Below are 17,611 nucleotides of genomic sequence, written 5' to 3'. Positions count from 1 at the left end.
AGTATCCAGGAGAGGAGAGAGTAATATTACTCTCAATATCGCAGGGAGTGTACACCCCATCTGGGATATTGTTCCTAATTTCCAGGGAGGGAAAAAGATATTACTCCAAATAACGCAAAGGTGTACACTTTCGCTTTGATATTGTCTTAAATATCCAGAGGGGGAGAAGATAATATTACCATCAATATGGCAAGGGGTGTACACCCCCCGTAATATTGTTTATAATATGCAGGAGGAGAGGGTTATATTACTTTCAATATCGCAAAGGGTGTACAATCTTCTTGTGATATTGTTCCTAATATCCAAAGGATGAGAGAATGATGTTATTTCAAATATCACAGGAGATGTGTATTCACCCCGCCCCCCCCCGTTGTTGTTCCTAATATCCAGGGAAAGAGAGAATGATATTATTCCCAATATCGCAGGCATTGTACATGACCCCGCCCACGTGATATTGTTCCTAATATCTAGTGGAAGAGAGGATGATATTGCTCCTAATATTTCAGGGGTGTAGACCCACCACGTGATAGTGTTCCCAAAATCCAGGAGAGAAGAGGATGATAATACCCTCAATATCACAGAAGGTGTACATCCCTTCTGTGATATTGTTCCTAATATAGATTGAGGGAAAGGATGACATTACTGTCAATATCACAGAGGGTTTACATGCTCCCTGTGATATTGTTTCTAATATCAAGGTGGGGAGATTATATTACTCCCAATATCGCAGGCGGTATGCAGTGCCCCAGTGAGATTGTTTCTAATATCCCGTCGAAGAAAGTATGATGTTGCTTCCAATATTACAAGCGTGTAAACCCCCTTGTGATATTGTTTCTAACAACCAGGGTGCGAGAGGATTAAATTACACCCGATATTGCAGGGGGTATACACCCCTTCTTGTGACATTGTTTGTAATATCCAGGGGTGGATTGAATGATATTTATCCCAATATTGCAAAAGGTGTACACCCCCCCATAATATTGTTACTAATATCCAGGAGAGGAAAGGATGATATTACTCCCAAAATCGCGATATTGGGTGTAATATCATCCTGTCTCCCCATGGATATAAGAATCAATAACACAGGAGTTTGTACAACCCCTGCGATATTGGCTGTAACATCATCCTCTCACCCTCTGAATATTAGAAAAAATATCACAGAGGGGGTCTTCAACCCATGCGATATTGGGAGTAATGTCATTCTCTTTTCTTCTCAATATTAAAAACAATATCACAGGGTGGGTGTACACCCCTTGTGATGTTGGGAATAATATCATCCTCTCTTCCCCTATGATATTAGAAAAATATTACACAAAAGGTGTACAACTCCTGCTCTACTGGGAATAATATCACCGCCCTCCCCTGGGATATTAAAAACAATATCATGGGAGGGTGTACATTGTGAGTAATATCATCCTCTCCCTCCCTGGATGTTAGGAACAATATCACGGCGGGGTGTAAACCCGTTGCGATATTGACAGTAATATCGTCTCCCTCCCTAAATATTAGGAACAATATCAAAGGGGGTTGTACACACCCTGCAATATTGGGAGTAATATTATTCTTTCCTCCCCTAAATATTAAAAACAATATCACAAGGGGGGTATACACCCCCCTGCGACATTTGGAGTAATATCATCCTCTTCTCCCCAGTATATTAGGAACCATACCATAAGGGGTGTGTACACTCCCTGAAATATTCCAAGTAATATTTACCTTCCCACCACCAGGTATTAGGAACAATATCACAGAGGTGTGAACACCCCTTGTGATATTAAGATTAATATCATCCTCTCCCTCCCTGAATGTTAGAAACAATATCACAGGGAAATGTAAATCCCCTGTGATACTGGGAGTAATATTATCCTCTCCCCACATGTATATTAGGAACAATATAACAGGGGGGATGTACACCCCTTGCGATATTGGAAGTAATATCATGCTCTTTCCCTTTGGATATTAAAAACAATATCAGAGGGGGTTGTACATTCCCTGTGATATTGGGAGTAATATTATCCTCTCTTTCCTTGATTATAGAAACAATATCACAGAAAAGGATTACACCTCCTGTGATATTGAAAATAATATCATCCTCTTCCCCCTGGATATTAGAAACAAGATCACAGGGAGGGCATACATCTTCTGTGATATTGGGAGTAATATCAGTTGCTACCCTGCTGGATATTAGAAACAATATAACAGGGGGGTGGGGAGTTACAGCCCCTGCAATATTTGGAATAATATCATCCTTTCTCCCCATGGATATTAGGAAAAATATCAAGGGGGGTTGTACATCCAGTGCAATATTGAAAGTAATATCCTGGATATTAGGAACAATATCACAAAAGGTGTTTACATCTCCTGCAATATTGAAAGTAATATCGTTCTCTACCCCCCTGGGTATTAGAAGCAATATTACAGGGGGGGTGTATACCCCCTGCAAAACTGGGAGTAATGTCATCCTCTCCCCCTCCTCTGTATATTAAAAACAATATTACAGGGGAGATGTACATTAGATGTGATATTGGAGGTAATATCATCCCTCCTCCCGCCCCCGCATATTAGGAACAATATCACAGGGGTAGTTTACACATCCTGCGATATTGGGAGCAACATTATCCTCTATCCCCTGGATATTAGGAGCAATATTACAGGGCGGGTGTACATCCCCTCCGATATTGGGAGTAATATTATTTTATTCCATTCTGGATGTTACAAACAATATCACAGGGTAGATATACATCCCCTGTGATATTAAGAGTAATATCGTCCTCTTTACCCCAGATATTAGAAACAATATCACCGGGGCGTGTTCATCCCCTGCTATATTTGGAGTAATATTATCCTCTCTTCCTTTGGATATTAGAAACAATATCACAGGAGGAGTTTCCACCGCCTGCAATATTGTGAGTAATATCCTCTCACCCTTTGGATATTAAGAACAGTTTCACGGAGGAGGGTGTACATCTCCTACATCACTGGGAGTAATATTATCATCTCCCACCCTGGATATTAGAAACAATATCACAGGGAAGGCGGATAGCCCCTGGATATTAGGAACAATATCACAGGATGAGTGGACACTCCCTGCGTTATTTGTAGTAATTTTATCTTCTCTTCCCTGTATAATAGGAACAATATCACAGGATGGGTGTACACCCCCTTCGATATTGAGAGTAGTATCATCCTCTCCTTTGCCTGGATATTACGAGCAATATCATAGGGTGGGGTAGACCTTCTGTGATATTGGGAGTAATATAATCCTCTCCCCTCTGAATATTATGAACAATATAACAAGGGGGTGTACATCCCCTGCAATATTGGGAGTAATATCTTCCTCTTCCCTTCTGCATATTATGAACAATATCATAGAAAGGTGTACATCCCCTGAGATATTGGCAGTAATATCATCCTCTTTTCTTCTGGATGTTACAAACAATACCACAGGGGAGGGTAACCCCCTCCTATATTTGGAGTAATATCATCCTCTCTTTCTCTAGGTATTACAAACAGTATCCCGGGGGGTTTACATCTTCTGTGATATTGGGAGTAATACTATCCTCTCCCTCCTGGATATTATGAAAAATATCACAAAGAGGTGTACACTTCCTGCGATATAGGGAGTAATACCACCCTCTTTCCCTCTGGATATTATGAACAATATCACAGGGTGGTGTAAACATTCTGTGACATTGGAGTAATATCATTCTCTCCCCCTGGATATTATGAACAATATCAAATGGTGATGTACACCCCCTGAGATATGGAGACTTATATTATCCTCTCCCCCCTCGGATATTATGAACCACATCAAAAGGGGGGTGTACACTGCCTGTGATATTGGGAGTAATATCATCCTTTCCCCCTTTATATCACAAGGCAGGTGTGCACCCCCTGCGATATTGGGAGTAGTATTATCCTTTCCTACCCTGGATAGTAAAAACAATATCACAAAGGGTGGTATTGAGAGTAATAACATCCTGTCTCCCCCTTGATATTATGAACAATATCACAGAAAGGTTGTACACCCCCTGCAATATTGGGAATAATACTATTTCTCCTCCCCCTGGATATTAGAAACGATATTACAGAAAAGGTGTACACCCCCTGCGATATTGGGAGTAATATCATTGTCCCCTTTTCTAGATATTAGGAACAATATCACGGGGGTGTGTACATCTCCTTCAATATCAAGACTAATATCATTCTCTTTCTTCCTGGATATTAAGAACAATATCACAGGGTGGGTGTACACCTCCTTCAATATTGAGAGTAATATTATCCTCTTTTCTTCTGGATGTTAGGAACAATATCACAAGGGGGTGTACACCTTCTGTAATATTGGGAGTAATATCATCTTCTCCCCCATATTAGGAGCAATGTCATCGGGAAGGTGTACACCCCCTGTGATATTGGGAGTAATATTATCTTCTCACCCCCTAAACATTACGAACAATATCACAGGGAAGGTGTACATTTCCTGTGATATTGAGAGTAATATCATCCTCTCCCACCCTGGATATTAGGACCAATATCACAGGTGGGGTTACCCCCTGCAATATTAAGAGTAATATCATCGGCTCCGTCCTGGATATCAGAAACAATGTTAACAGGAAGAATGTACACCTTGTGCCGTATTGGCAGTAATATCATCCTCTCCTCTGGATATTTGAAGCAATATCAGAGAGGGTGTACACACAGCGTGTTTACCATATTGAGAGTAATATCATCCTCTTCCTCCCTGGATATTATGAACAATATCACAAAGTGTTTTTCACTTTCTGCTTTATTAGGAGTAATGTCTTCCTCTCCCTTTCTGGATATTATAAACAATATAACAGGTTGGTGCACACCATTTTCGATATTGGGAGTAATATCCTCTTTGCACTTGATATTACAAACAATATTAAAGAGGGTGTACACACCCTGCGATATAGGGAGTAATATCATCCTCACACCCCCAAATATTAAGAACAATACCCCAGGGTGGGATATTAGAAGTAATATCATCCTCTCTCCCCCTGGATATTACAAAAAATATCACGGTGGGTGTACAAACAGGGTGTTTAGAATATTGGGAGTAACATCATCCTCTCCCCTCCTGGATATTACGACCAATATTACAAGTGGGTGTACAACCCCTGTGATATTAGGTGTAATATCCTCTCCCCAACTCCCAGATATTACAAACAATATAAGAGTGGGGTGTAAACTTCTTGCAATGTTGGGAGTAATATCATGTTCTTTTTCTCTGGATATTATGAACAATATCACAGGGAGGTGTACTCCCCCTGTGATATTGAAAGTAATATCATCCTCTTCCTCCCCTGGACATTATGAACCATATCACAAGGGGGTACAAGCCCTCTGTGATATGGAGAATAATATTACCCTCTCCCTCTCTGGATATTACAAACCATATCACAGGAGGTTGTACTCCCTGGCGATATGAACAGTAATAACACACTCTCCCCCTCGGGGTATTACGAACGATATCACAAGGGGCTGTACGCCCCCCGCAATATGGACAGTAATATCACCATCTCCCGACCGGCATATTATGTACAATATCAAAAGAGGGTGTACTTCCATTGCGACATGGGCAGTAATTTCACCCTCTGCTTCCCCGAGGTATTACAAACCATACACAAAGGAGTATCACAGGGGGTGTACCTCCCCCCAACCCCACGCCATTTAGGAAGAAATATCACCCTCTCCCCCCCTGGAATATTACAAACCATATCACAGGGGTTTTATGCCCTCCACGATATGGGGAGTAATATTACCCTCTCTTCCCCAAGATATTACAAACTATGTCACAGGGGGGTGTACACCCGGCACAATATGGAAAGTAATATCACCCTTTCCCCCCCAAAAATATTGCGAACTATGTCACAGGAAAGTGTATGCTTTTCGCGATATGGGGAGTAATATCACCTTCTCCTTTCCTGGAAATTACGAACCATGTCACAGGGGGTGTATGCCCCATGATAGCTAGAGTAATATCACCCTCTCCCCTGTGGGATATTACAAACCATATCACTAGGTGGTGTACACCATGGGCGATATGGGGACTAATATCACCCTCTCCCTTCAAGATATTACGAACCACATCACAGGGGTGTGTATGCCCCCACGATAAGGAGAGTAATAGTCCCTTCTTCCCACTGGGATATTATGAACCGTATCACAGAGGGGTGTACGTCCCCCCCTCCCCCAATATTGGCAGCAATATCGACTTCTCCTTCCCAAGATATTATGAACCATATCAAGGGGTGGGGGAAGGTAAAAGCCTTTAGTGATATGGGGAGTAATATCAACCTCTCTCCCCTGGAATATTACAAACCATATCACGGGGGGTGTATGCCCCTAGTGATATGGAAAACAATATCACCCTCTCCCACCCGGGATATTACTAACCACATCACAGGGGGGGCGTAAACCCCTGCAACATGGGAAGTAATATCACCCTTTTGCCCTCTATTACAAACCATATCACAGGTGGGTGTATGCCCCTTGCGATACGGGGAGTAATATCACCCTAGTCCCCCCCAGGATATAATGAAACATATCACAAAGGGTTGTACAACCCCCGCGATACGGGGAGTAATAGGAGTAATATCACCCTCTGCCCCCAAGATATTAGGAGGCACATCACACCCTCCATGATATGGGGAGTAATATCGCCCTCTTTTTTCCTGGATATTACAAACCATATCACAGGGGAGTGTACACCACTCCCCACTCAATATGGGAAGCAATATCACCCTCTCCCTTCCTGGATATTATGAATCATATAAAAGCGGAGTGTACATCCCCCACAGTATGGGGAGTAATATCACCCTCTCCGCCCCTCCAGATATTACGGACCATATCATGAGGGGTGCACACCTCCCATGATATGAGGAGTAATATCACCCTCTATTTCCTGGGATATTACGAACCATATCACAGAGGAGTGTATACATCCTGCTATATGGGCAGTAATACAATCCTCTCCCCTTTGGAATATTATGAACCTTATCGAAAGGGGGTGTAGGGGGTTGTACGCCCACTGTGATATGAAAAGTATTATCACCCTCTCTCCCTCTGCATATTATGAACCATATCACAGGGGTGTGTAGGATCCCCGCTATATGGGGAGTAATATCACCCTATGCCCCCCAGAATTTACGAACCATATCACATGGAAGTGTACGTCCTCCACGATATGGTGAGTAATATCACCCACGCACCCCTGGAATATTTCTAACCATGTCACACGGGGCTGTACACCCCCCTCAATATGGAAAGTAATATCACACTTTTCCCCCGAAATATTATGAACCAGGTCACATAGGGGTGTACGCTCCTTGCAATATGGGGAGTAATATTACCCTCTGCTTTCCTGGAAATTATGAACCATGTCACAGTGGGGTGTAAGATTCCAGGATGCCAAGAGTAATATCACCATTTCTTTCCCGAGATATTATGAACCATATCACAGGGGGGTGTACACCTCCCACGGTATAAGGAGTAATATAACCCTCTCCCCACCAGGATATTATGAACCATATCACAGAGGTGTGTACGCCTCTGTGATTAGGAGAGTAATATTCCCCCCACCCCCCGAGATATTATGAACCATATAACAAGGGGGTGTATGCCCCCACGATATGGAAAGTAATATCAACTTCTTTCTCCCAAGATATTACTTGGGAGGTATACGCCCAAGTATGTATGCTTGTATGTATACTGTGTATGTATACACAGAGGGGTATATGCCTCTGTGATGTGGGGAGTAATATCATCCTCTCTCCCCTGGAATATGAAGAATCATATATGGGGGTTGTCCACCCCTCATGCTATGGAGAGCAATATTACCCTCTCCCACCCGGAATATTACAAACCATATCACAAGCGGGTGTACGTCCCTGCAATATGGAGAGTAATATCACCTTCTCCCCCCTGGGATATTACAAACCATATCACAGGAGGGTGTTTGCCCCTTGTGATATGGGAAGTAATATCACCCTCTCCTCCCTGGGATATTAGATATCATATCACAGAGGGGTGTATGCCCCCTGCTATATGGGGAGTAACAGCAGCCTCTCAAACTTGGGAGATTATGAACCGTATCACACTTTCACACTTTCTGTGATATACGGAGTAATATTACCCTCTCCCCCTCCCCTGGATATTACAAACCATATCACAGGGGGGTGTATGCACTCCACAATACAGAGAGTAATATCACCCTCTCCGCTTCCCCCCCCCCCCCCGCATATTACGAATCATATCACAGGGTCGTGTAGGGTTCCCACGACATGAGAAGTAATGTCTCCCTCTCCACTTCTGGATATTACAAACCATATCACAAGGATGTACACCCCCCGTGATATGGGATGTAATATCACCCACTTCTCCCTTCCTGGATATTATGAACCATATCACAGGGAAGTGTACACCCTCCAGGATATTGAAAGTAACATCACCCTCCTCTCCCACCCTGGGTATTACCAACTGTATCACAGATGTGTGTACACACCCGGGGTTTGGAGAGTAATATCACCCTCCTTTCCCTACCTGGGTATAATGAACCATATCACAGAAGGGTGTCCATGCCCCGTGATATGGGGAGTAACATCACCATTCTTTATCCCCATAGATATTATGAATTATATCACAGGGGGTCATATATCCCTCAAGATATAATGAGTAACATCAACCTTCTCTCCCCTCCTGGATATTACAAGTCATATCACAGGGGGTTGCACATTGTCCGCGATATTAGGAGTGATATCACCCTCCTCACCCACTCTGGATATTATAAACCAGATCACAGGAGGTGTACACACCCCACGATATAAGGAGTAATATCACCCTCCTCTCCCCCCACCCCCAAATATTAGAAACAATATCAGCGGGGATGTACACCTTCTGCGATATTAAGAATAATATCCTCTCCCCCCTTGAATATTTGGAACAATATAACAGGGGAGGTGTACACCCCCTGTGATAATGGGAGTAATATCATTCTCTTTCTCCCTGAATATTAGGAACAATATCACGGTGCTGGGGGTAGGGGGGCGGTTACACCTATAATCCCAGCACTTTGGGATGCTGAGGTGGGTGGATTGCTTGAGGTTAAGAGTTCAAGACCAGCCTGACCAACATCGTGAAACCCTGTCTCTACTAAAAATACCAAAATTAGCCGGGCATGACAGCAGGTGCCTATAATCCCAGTTAGTCTGGAGGCTGAGGAAGGAGAGTTGCTCAAACCTGGGAGGTGGAGGTTGCAGTGAGCAGAGATCCGCGCCATTGCACTCCAGCCTGGGCGACAGGGTGAGACTCCGTCTAAAAAACAAAAAATCGCAGGGGGTGTACACACCCTTCCATATTGGGAGTAATATCATGCTCTTTCCTTCTGAATATTAGGAACAATATCACAGGGGGAGTATACACCCCCTGCGATATTGGTAGTAATATCATAGTCTTCCCCCCTGGATATTAGGAACAATATCACAAAAGGAGTGTACACACTTTGCGATATTGGGAGTAATATCATACTCATTTTCATTGGATATTAAGAACAATATCACAGAGGGGGTGTCCACCCCCTGCAATATTGGGAGTAATATTATTCTCTTTCCCCTTTAAATATTAAAAACAATATCACAAGGGGGTTTTACACCCTGTGACATTGTTATTCTTCCCTTGATATTAGGAAGAATATAACAGGAGGGGTGTACAGCCCCGACGATATTGGGAGTCATGTCATTTTCTCCCTCATGGATATTTGGAACAATACCACAGGAGTAGTGTACACCCCCTGCGATATTGTGATTAATATCAACCTTTCCTTTTTGGATATTAAGAACAATATTACAGGGGTGGTGTACATTTCCTGTGATATTGGGAGTAATATCATCCTGTCCTTCTTTGGATATTTTGAACAATATCACGGGGAGGGGTACACCCCCTGCGATATTGGGAGTAATATCATTTTCTCCTACTTGAATATTATGAACAACCTCACACGGGGGTGTACACGGTGGGATATTGGGAGTAATATCATCCTTTTTCTTTCTGGACATTACAAACAATAACACTGGGAGGGGGTGTACAGCCCCTTCGATATTTGGAGTAATATTATCCTCTTTTTCCCTGGATATTATGAACAGTATCACAGTGGGATGCACACCCCATGCGATATTGCGAATAATATCGTCTTCTCCCACCCTGGCTATTACAAACAATATCACGGGGGTTGTACAGCCCCTGTGATATTGGGAGGAGTGATAACATCCTCTTTCCCAGTAAATATTACAAACAATATCACAGAGGGGTGTACACCCTCTGCGATATTAAGAGAAACATCCTCTACTCCCCTGGATATTATAAAAAACATCACAGTGGGGCTGTATACCCCCTGTGTTATTGGGTGTAATACCATCCTTTCCCCTCCCCTGAATATTAGGAACAATATCACTGGGGGGTGCACACCGCCTGCGATATTGGGAGTAATATCATCCTCTCCCCCTATAAATATTAGGAACAATATCACAGCAGGGGTGTGCACACCCTACGATATTGGGAGTAATATCATCCTGTCTCTCCCTGGATATTATTAACTATATTACAGTGGGAGTGTACACCCCCTGAGATTTTTGGAGTAATATTATCCCCCAATTCCCTGAATATTATAAAGCATATCACAGGAGGGGTGTACACCTTCTGTGATATTGAGAGTAATATAATCTTCTTGCCCTCTGGATATTAGAAACAATATTCCATGAGGGTGTTTATCATAGAGGGGTGTACACACAAGTTGTTTACGATATTGGGAGTAATATCATCTTCTCTCTTCCTGGATATAAAGACCACTATCACAGAGGGGTGTACAACCCCTGTGATATTGGCAGTAATAGCATCTTCTTTCCCCCTGGGTATTACAAACAATATCACAGGGGGATGTACACCCCCTGCGATACTCGGAGTAATATTATCCTCTCTGCTTCTAGATATTTTGAATTCTATCACAAAGGTTTGTACACCCCTACGATATTGGGAGTAATATTATCCTCTCCTCTTCAAGATATTATGAACAATATAACAGGAGGGTGTACACCGTCTATGATATTGGTAGAAATATTATCCTCTCTCCCCCCTGAATATTACAAACAATATCACAGGGGGGTGTGCCCACCCTACGATATTTAGAGTAATATAATCCTCTCCCCACCTGAATATTACGAACAATATCACAGGGGGTCTTACACCCCCTGCGATGTTGGGTATAATATCATCCTTTCCTCCTTGTATGTTAGGAACAATATTCCAGGGTGTATGTACAACCTCTGCGATATTGGGAGTAATATCCTCTTACCCCTTGAATATTAGAAACAATATCATAGGGGGGTGTAAACCCCCTGTGATATTGGGAAAAATATCCTCTACCCGCCCCCCTCTGGCTAGATTTTAGGAACAATATCACAGGAGGGTGAACATGCCCTGCCATATTGGAAGTAGTATCATCCTCTCCCCCTTTGGATATTACAAACAGTGTCACAGTGGGGTGGACACCCTCTGCGATATTGGGTATAATGTCATCGTTTCTTCCCAGGATATTACAAACAAGATTACAGGAAGGTGTACACACATGGTGTTTATGACATTGGGAGTAATATTATCCTCTCTCCCCTTAATATTACCAACAATATCACAGGGGGGTGTATAACCCCTGCGATATTGGGATTAATATCCTCTCCCCTGCGGGATATTATGGAGAATATTACAGAGGGGTGTACACCAACTGTGATACTCGGAGTAGTAACATTCTCTTCCCTTCTTGATATTACAAACTATATCACAGGTGTACACCCCCTGTGATATTGTGAGTAATATCATCCTCTCTTCCTCTGTATATTGCAAACAATATCACAGAGTGGTGTTGACCCCCTGTGATATTGGGAGTAATATTATCCTCTCCTTCCCTAAATATTATGAACAGTATCATAGGAGGTTGTACACTCCCTATGATATTGCAAGTAATATCATCCTCTCGACCCTGAATATTACGAACAATATCACAAAAAAAGTATACACTCCTTGCGATACTGGGAGTAATATCATCCTCTCCCTTCAAAGATATTAGGAACAATATCACAGGGGTGGTGTACACCCCCTGCGATATTAGGAGTTATGTCATCCTCTCTTCCCCAAAAATATTAGGAACAATATTACAGGAAAGTTGTACACCTGCTGCGATATTAAGAGTAATATCATCCTCTATTCCACTGGATATTAGGAACAATATGACGTGAGAGTGGACACCCCCTGTGATATTTGGAGTAATATCATCCTCCCTCCCCTGGATATTATGAGCAATATCAGTGGGGGGTTGTACACCCCCTGCATATTGGGAGTAATATCATTCTCTCCTTTTCTGGGTATTAGGAAACATATAATTGGGGAGGTGTACACTTGCTGCAATATTGGGAGTTAGGATATTGCGATATTAGGAACAATATCACAGCAGGGGTGTACATCCCTTTCGATATTGGGAGCAATATTATCCTCAGCCCCCTTTATATTAGGAACAATATCACAGTGGGGGTGTGCACCCACAGCGATATTGGGAGTAATATCATCCCCTCCCCCCGTGGATATTAGGGACAATAACACAGGGGAGGTTTATACCCCCTGCGATACTGAAACTAATATCCTCATCTTTCTTTTTAGATATTAGGAACAATATCCCAGGGGTGTTGTTCACCCCTGGGATATTGGAAGTAATATAATCCTTTCCCCCTGGATATTAAGAACAATATCACGAGGGAGTGTATACCCCATGCAATATTAAGAGTAATATCATTCTCTCTTCCCCTGGATATTATGAAAACATCACAGAGTGGGTGTATACCTTCTGGATAATGGAGGATAATATGTTCTTTCCTCATGGATATTAGGAAAAATGTAACAGAGTGGATGTACACTTCCTGCGATATTGGGAGTATATCATCCTTTTCTCTTAATATTATGAACAATATTACAGCGGGGGTGTACACCTGCGATACTGAATGTAATATCATCCTCTCCCTCCCTGAAAGTTAGGAACAGTATCAGAGGAAGTGTGTACAACCTCTGCAATATGGGGAGTAATATCATCCTCTTTTCCTCTGGATGTTAGGAACAATATCACAGGAGGGGTGTACACCACCTGAAATATTGGGAGTAATATCCTCACCCCCCCCACTAAATGTTAGGACCAATATCATGGAGGGGGGGTGTACACCCCCGCTATAATAGGAGTAATATCATGCTCTTTCCCCTTGGATATTAGGAACTATGTTACAGGAAAGGTGTACAACCCCTGCGACATTGAAGGTAATATCAACCTCTTTCCCCCTGAATATTATCAACAATATCACAGGGGTGTGTATACCCCCTGCGATATTGAGAGTAAGATTATTTTCTCCCCGACGGATATTAGGAACAACATCACAGGAGTGGTGTACACCTCCTGTGATATTGGGAGTAATATCACCCTCCCCACTGCCGTATATTAAAAACAGTATCACTGGGGAAGTGTAAACCCACAGCAATATTGAAACTAATATCATTTTCTCCCAAACTGAATACTAAGAACAATATTACAGGAGATGTGCACCCCCTGTCAAATTGAGAGTAATATCCTCCTCTCCCCTCCTGGATATTAGGAACTATATCACAGAAAAGGTGTACACCCCCTGAGATATTAGTAGTAACATCATCCTCTCTCCCTCTGGATATTAGGAACAATATCACAGGGGGTGGTGTACACCCCCTGGAATAGTAACAATAATATCATCGTATTTTTCCCTGGATATTAAGAAGAATATCACAAAGGAGGTTTACACTCTCTGCGATCTTGGAAGTAATATCATCTTCTCCCTTCCTGGATATTACAAACAATATCACAGGGGGCGTGTACACCCCTTGTGATATTAGGAGTAGTATCATCCTCTCCACCCCCTGGATATTAGGAACTATATCTCATGGGGGGTGTACTCATTCTGTGATATTGGACATAATAAGATCCTCTCCCTCCCTTGATATTAGGAACAATATCAAAGGGTGGGTGTACACACCCTGCAATATCGAGAGTAATATCTTCCTCTCCACCCTGGATATTGGAAACAATATCATATGTGGGGGTTGTATACCCCCTGTGATATGGATAGTAATATGATTCCCACCCCCCTTGATATTAGGAACAATATCAAAGGGCGAGTGTACACCCCCTTCTATGTTGAGAGTAATATCATCCTCTTCCTTCTTGGATATTAGGAACAACATTACAAAAAGGTGTACACCCCCTGCAATATTACGAGTAATATCATCCTCTTTCCCCCGGATATTAGGAACTATATCACAAAGGGGATGTACCCTTTCTGCGATATTGAAAGTAATATAATCGTCTCCCCTCCTGTATATTAGGTACAATATCACATGGGTGGTGTACAAGCCCTACTATAATAGGAGGAATATCATGCTCTTTCCCCCTGGATATTAAGAACAATATCACAGGGGAGGTGTACACCCCCTGTGATATTGGGAGTAACATTATTCTCTCTCCCCCTTGATATTAGGAACAATATTACAGGGGGTGTGTACTCACCCTGAGATATTGGGAGTAATGTCATCCTCTCCCCTTCTGGATATTAGGAACAACGTAACGGGGGTGTACACGCCGTGCATTATTAGGAGTGATATCATCCTCTCCCCCTCTGGATATTAGAAACAATATCACAAGGGCGTGTACATCCCCTGCTATAATGTGGTAATATCATCCTCTCCCTTCCTGGATATTAGAAACTATATCACAGATGAGGTGCACACCTCCTGCAATATTGAAAGTAACATCATCCTCTTACCCCCTGAATATTAGGAACAATATCACAGGGAAGGTGTACACCTTCTGCGATATTGGGAGTAATACCCTTTTCCCCCTACTTAGATGTTAGAAACAACATCACGGGGGGTGTACACCTCCTGCGATATTGGGAGTAATATCATCCTCTGTATATTAAAAACAGTGTCGACAAAAAGGTGTACACCTCCTGAGATACTGGGACTAATATCCTTTTCTCCAAACCTATATATTAAGAACAATATCACAGAGGGTGTGCACTCCCTGCGATATTGGGGGTAATATCATCCTTCTCCCTCTTGGATATCAGGAATGATATTACGGGGGGGTGTACATCCCCTGTGATATTGGGATTAATATTGTCCTCTCCCCTCCTGGATATTGGGAAAAACATCACGTGGGGTGGGGGGTGTATACACCCTGCAATATTGGAAGTAATATTATTTTCCCCCTCACTGGATATTAGAAAGATTATCATAGAAGCGGTGTAAACCATCTGCGATATTAGGAGTAATATCATCCTCTCCCCCCCCCATATATTAGGAACAATATCACAGGAAATGAGTGTACACTTTCAATATTGGGCATTATTATCATTCTTTATTTTCCTGGATATTAGAAACAATATCACAGGAGGGAGTGTACACCCCCTGCAATATTGGGAGTAATATTATCCTCTCCCATTCTGGATATTAGGAACCATATCTCTGGAAAGTTGTGCACTCCCTGCAATATTTGGAGTAATATCATCCTCTCCCTTCCTGGATATTAGGAACAATATCACAAGGGGTATGTACACTCTCAGAGACATTGAAAGTAATATCCTCTCCCCCACTTGATATTATGTGCAATATTACAGGGTGGGTGTACACTCCCAGTGATATTAATATCATCTTCTCCTCCCCTGGATATTACAAACAATATCGTGTGGGGGGGTGTACACCCCCTGTGATATTCAGAGTAATATTATCCTGTCTCCCCCTGGATATAAGAAACAATATCACAGGGGTTTGTACACTTCTCAGATATTGGACTTAATATCATCCTTTCCCACTCTGAATATTAGGAACAGTATCATAGAGGGTGAGTTCACCTCATGCGATATTGGGAGTAATGCCATTGTTTTTTCCCCTGGGTATTAAAAACAGTATCACAGGGTGGATGTACACCCCCTGTGATATTGGGAGTAATATTATCCTCTCTTGCCTCTTTATATTAGGAAAAATATCACACAAAATGTTTACAACTCCTGCAATATTGGGAGTAATATCACCCTCCTTGGAGAGTAGTAACAGGAAACCTAAAGTCTCTCTGTTTTTAGAAAATGAGTTCTCATTAGCAAATGACTCAAATATGTCAGAAAAATCTAAAAAGAATTCATCAGATTTGGCTATTAAAAGTCAATGATTGAGAAAAGGATTATGATGAAGAGGGAATGGAAGATAAACAGGCAACAGTGAAAGTAAGCTATGATCTCAAACTTGATTAGTCAGAAAAGGGGAGACATATGTAGATGGCTACTCAAAGTATATTCTTTTAAAAAAATTAGAGAATCTCAGATTTTAAAAGATTTTAGAAAATAAAAAAATTAACTGATCTGCTTATTTTTCATTTCCTAATTATGGATAGTATCCCTAGGCTTCCTGTCTTATGACAATGAGATCTGCACCTCTGCCTGTCCCTGCACTTTTTCCCCACTTCCTACCTCCCCACTTCTGTCACCTGTACTTTTACTTTATCAAGGATGATAATGTATACAATCTGTTCCGTAACTAAGTTATTTTATATTTTAACTTTATTGAAAAACAATGTTTGTATTATTGCAGCTTTAAAATTATAGGCTCTGCTGTGAACAATCATTCAAAATAATAAAACTGCAAACACTAAATATATTTGTGTTTTTCCTGTAGGATCTAATGCCTTTTTAAAGTAACTGTCTTTCTTTCCCCACACCCTTACATATCCCTATTTTCTTTGGAAACATCCTTTTATATCAACTCTTTTAGAAACTCCCTTCCTTCCTTCCCCACATAGAATTCCTTACTAGCATCCTTAGTCTCTAGGCTGCTCTCTAGGAAAAGACACACTATGCTCTTCCTAGAACTTCAGGTTCCTGCTTGTCTGAATTCTATCACCTTTTTTTTTTTTGAATGTCGTTTCTTCTTCTTTCTTGCTTATTTATTGAAATATAACTTCAATTCACTTCCTAAGTAAAGTTTATGGATCCCTCCGTATATGTAATGCTTTATTTGGCCATCACATTTTATTAATTCTTGGGTGCATATTTTTAATGGCTTTTTTCCTCTATAACTTTAAAAGCACTTTTACTGAGAAGTTAAATATACAAATGAACAATAACCAGACCACATATAAAAAAACAGCTTTGACTCACAATCTGCAACAAGCAGTTTAGGGAACAAATCCCTTATCTACAGTAACCAGACCAGGAAGCCAGGCTACCATCTGACATTTAGACATGTAGGAAGTCAAACCACTATCTCTAGCAAACAATCTAAGAAGACTAAATGGTTATTATCTGGTTTTGGATTGTTTGCTTGTTCCTGAAAAAAAAAATGGATCCCAAATGGTCAGTTGATTAATAACTGCAGGTTCCCTAATTTTTGTCCCTGCTTCCAACTTAGTACAAGCCAAAGAAAGCCAGATACAGTATACACTGCTTGTCAATCACATATGATGCCCTACTTCTAGTTAGCCTAC

This window comes from Homo sapiens, chromosome 6, assembly GCF_000001405.40.
Source record: "Homo sapiens chromosome 6, GRCh38.p14 Primary Assembly".
NCBI classification, from domain to species: domain Eukaryota; kingdom Metazoa; phylum Chordata; class Mammalia; order Primates; family Hominidae; genus Homo; species Homo sapiens.
Note: the sequence above shows the minus strand (reverse complement) of the source record.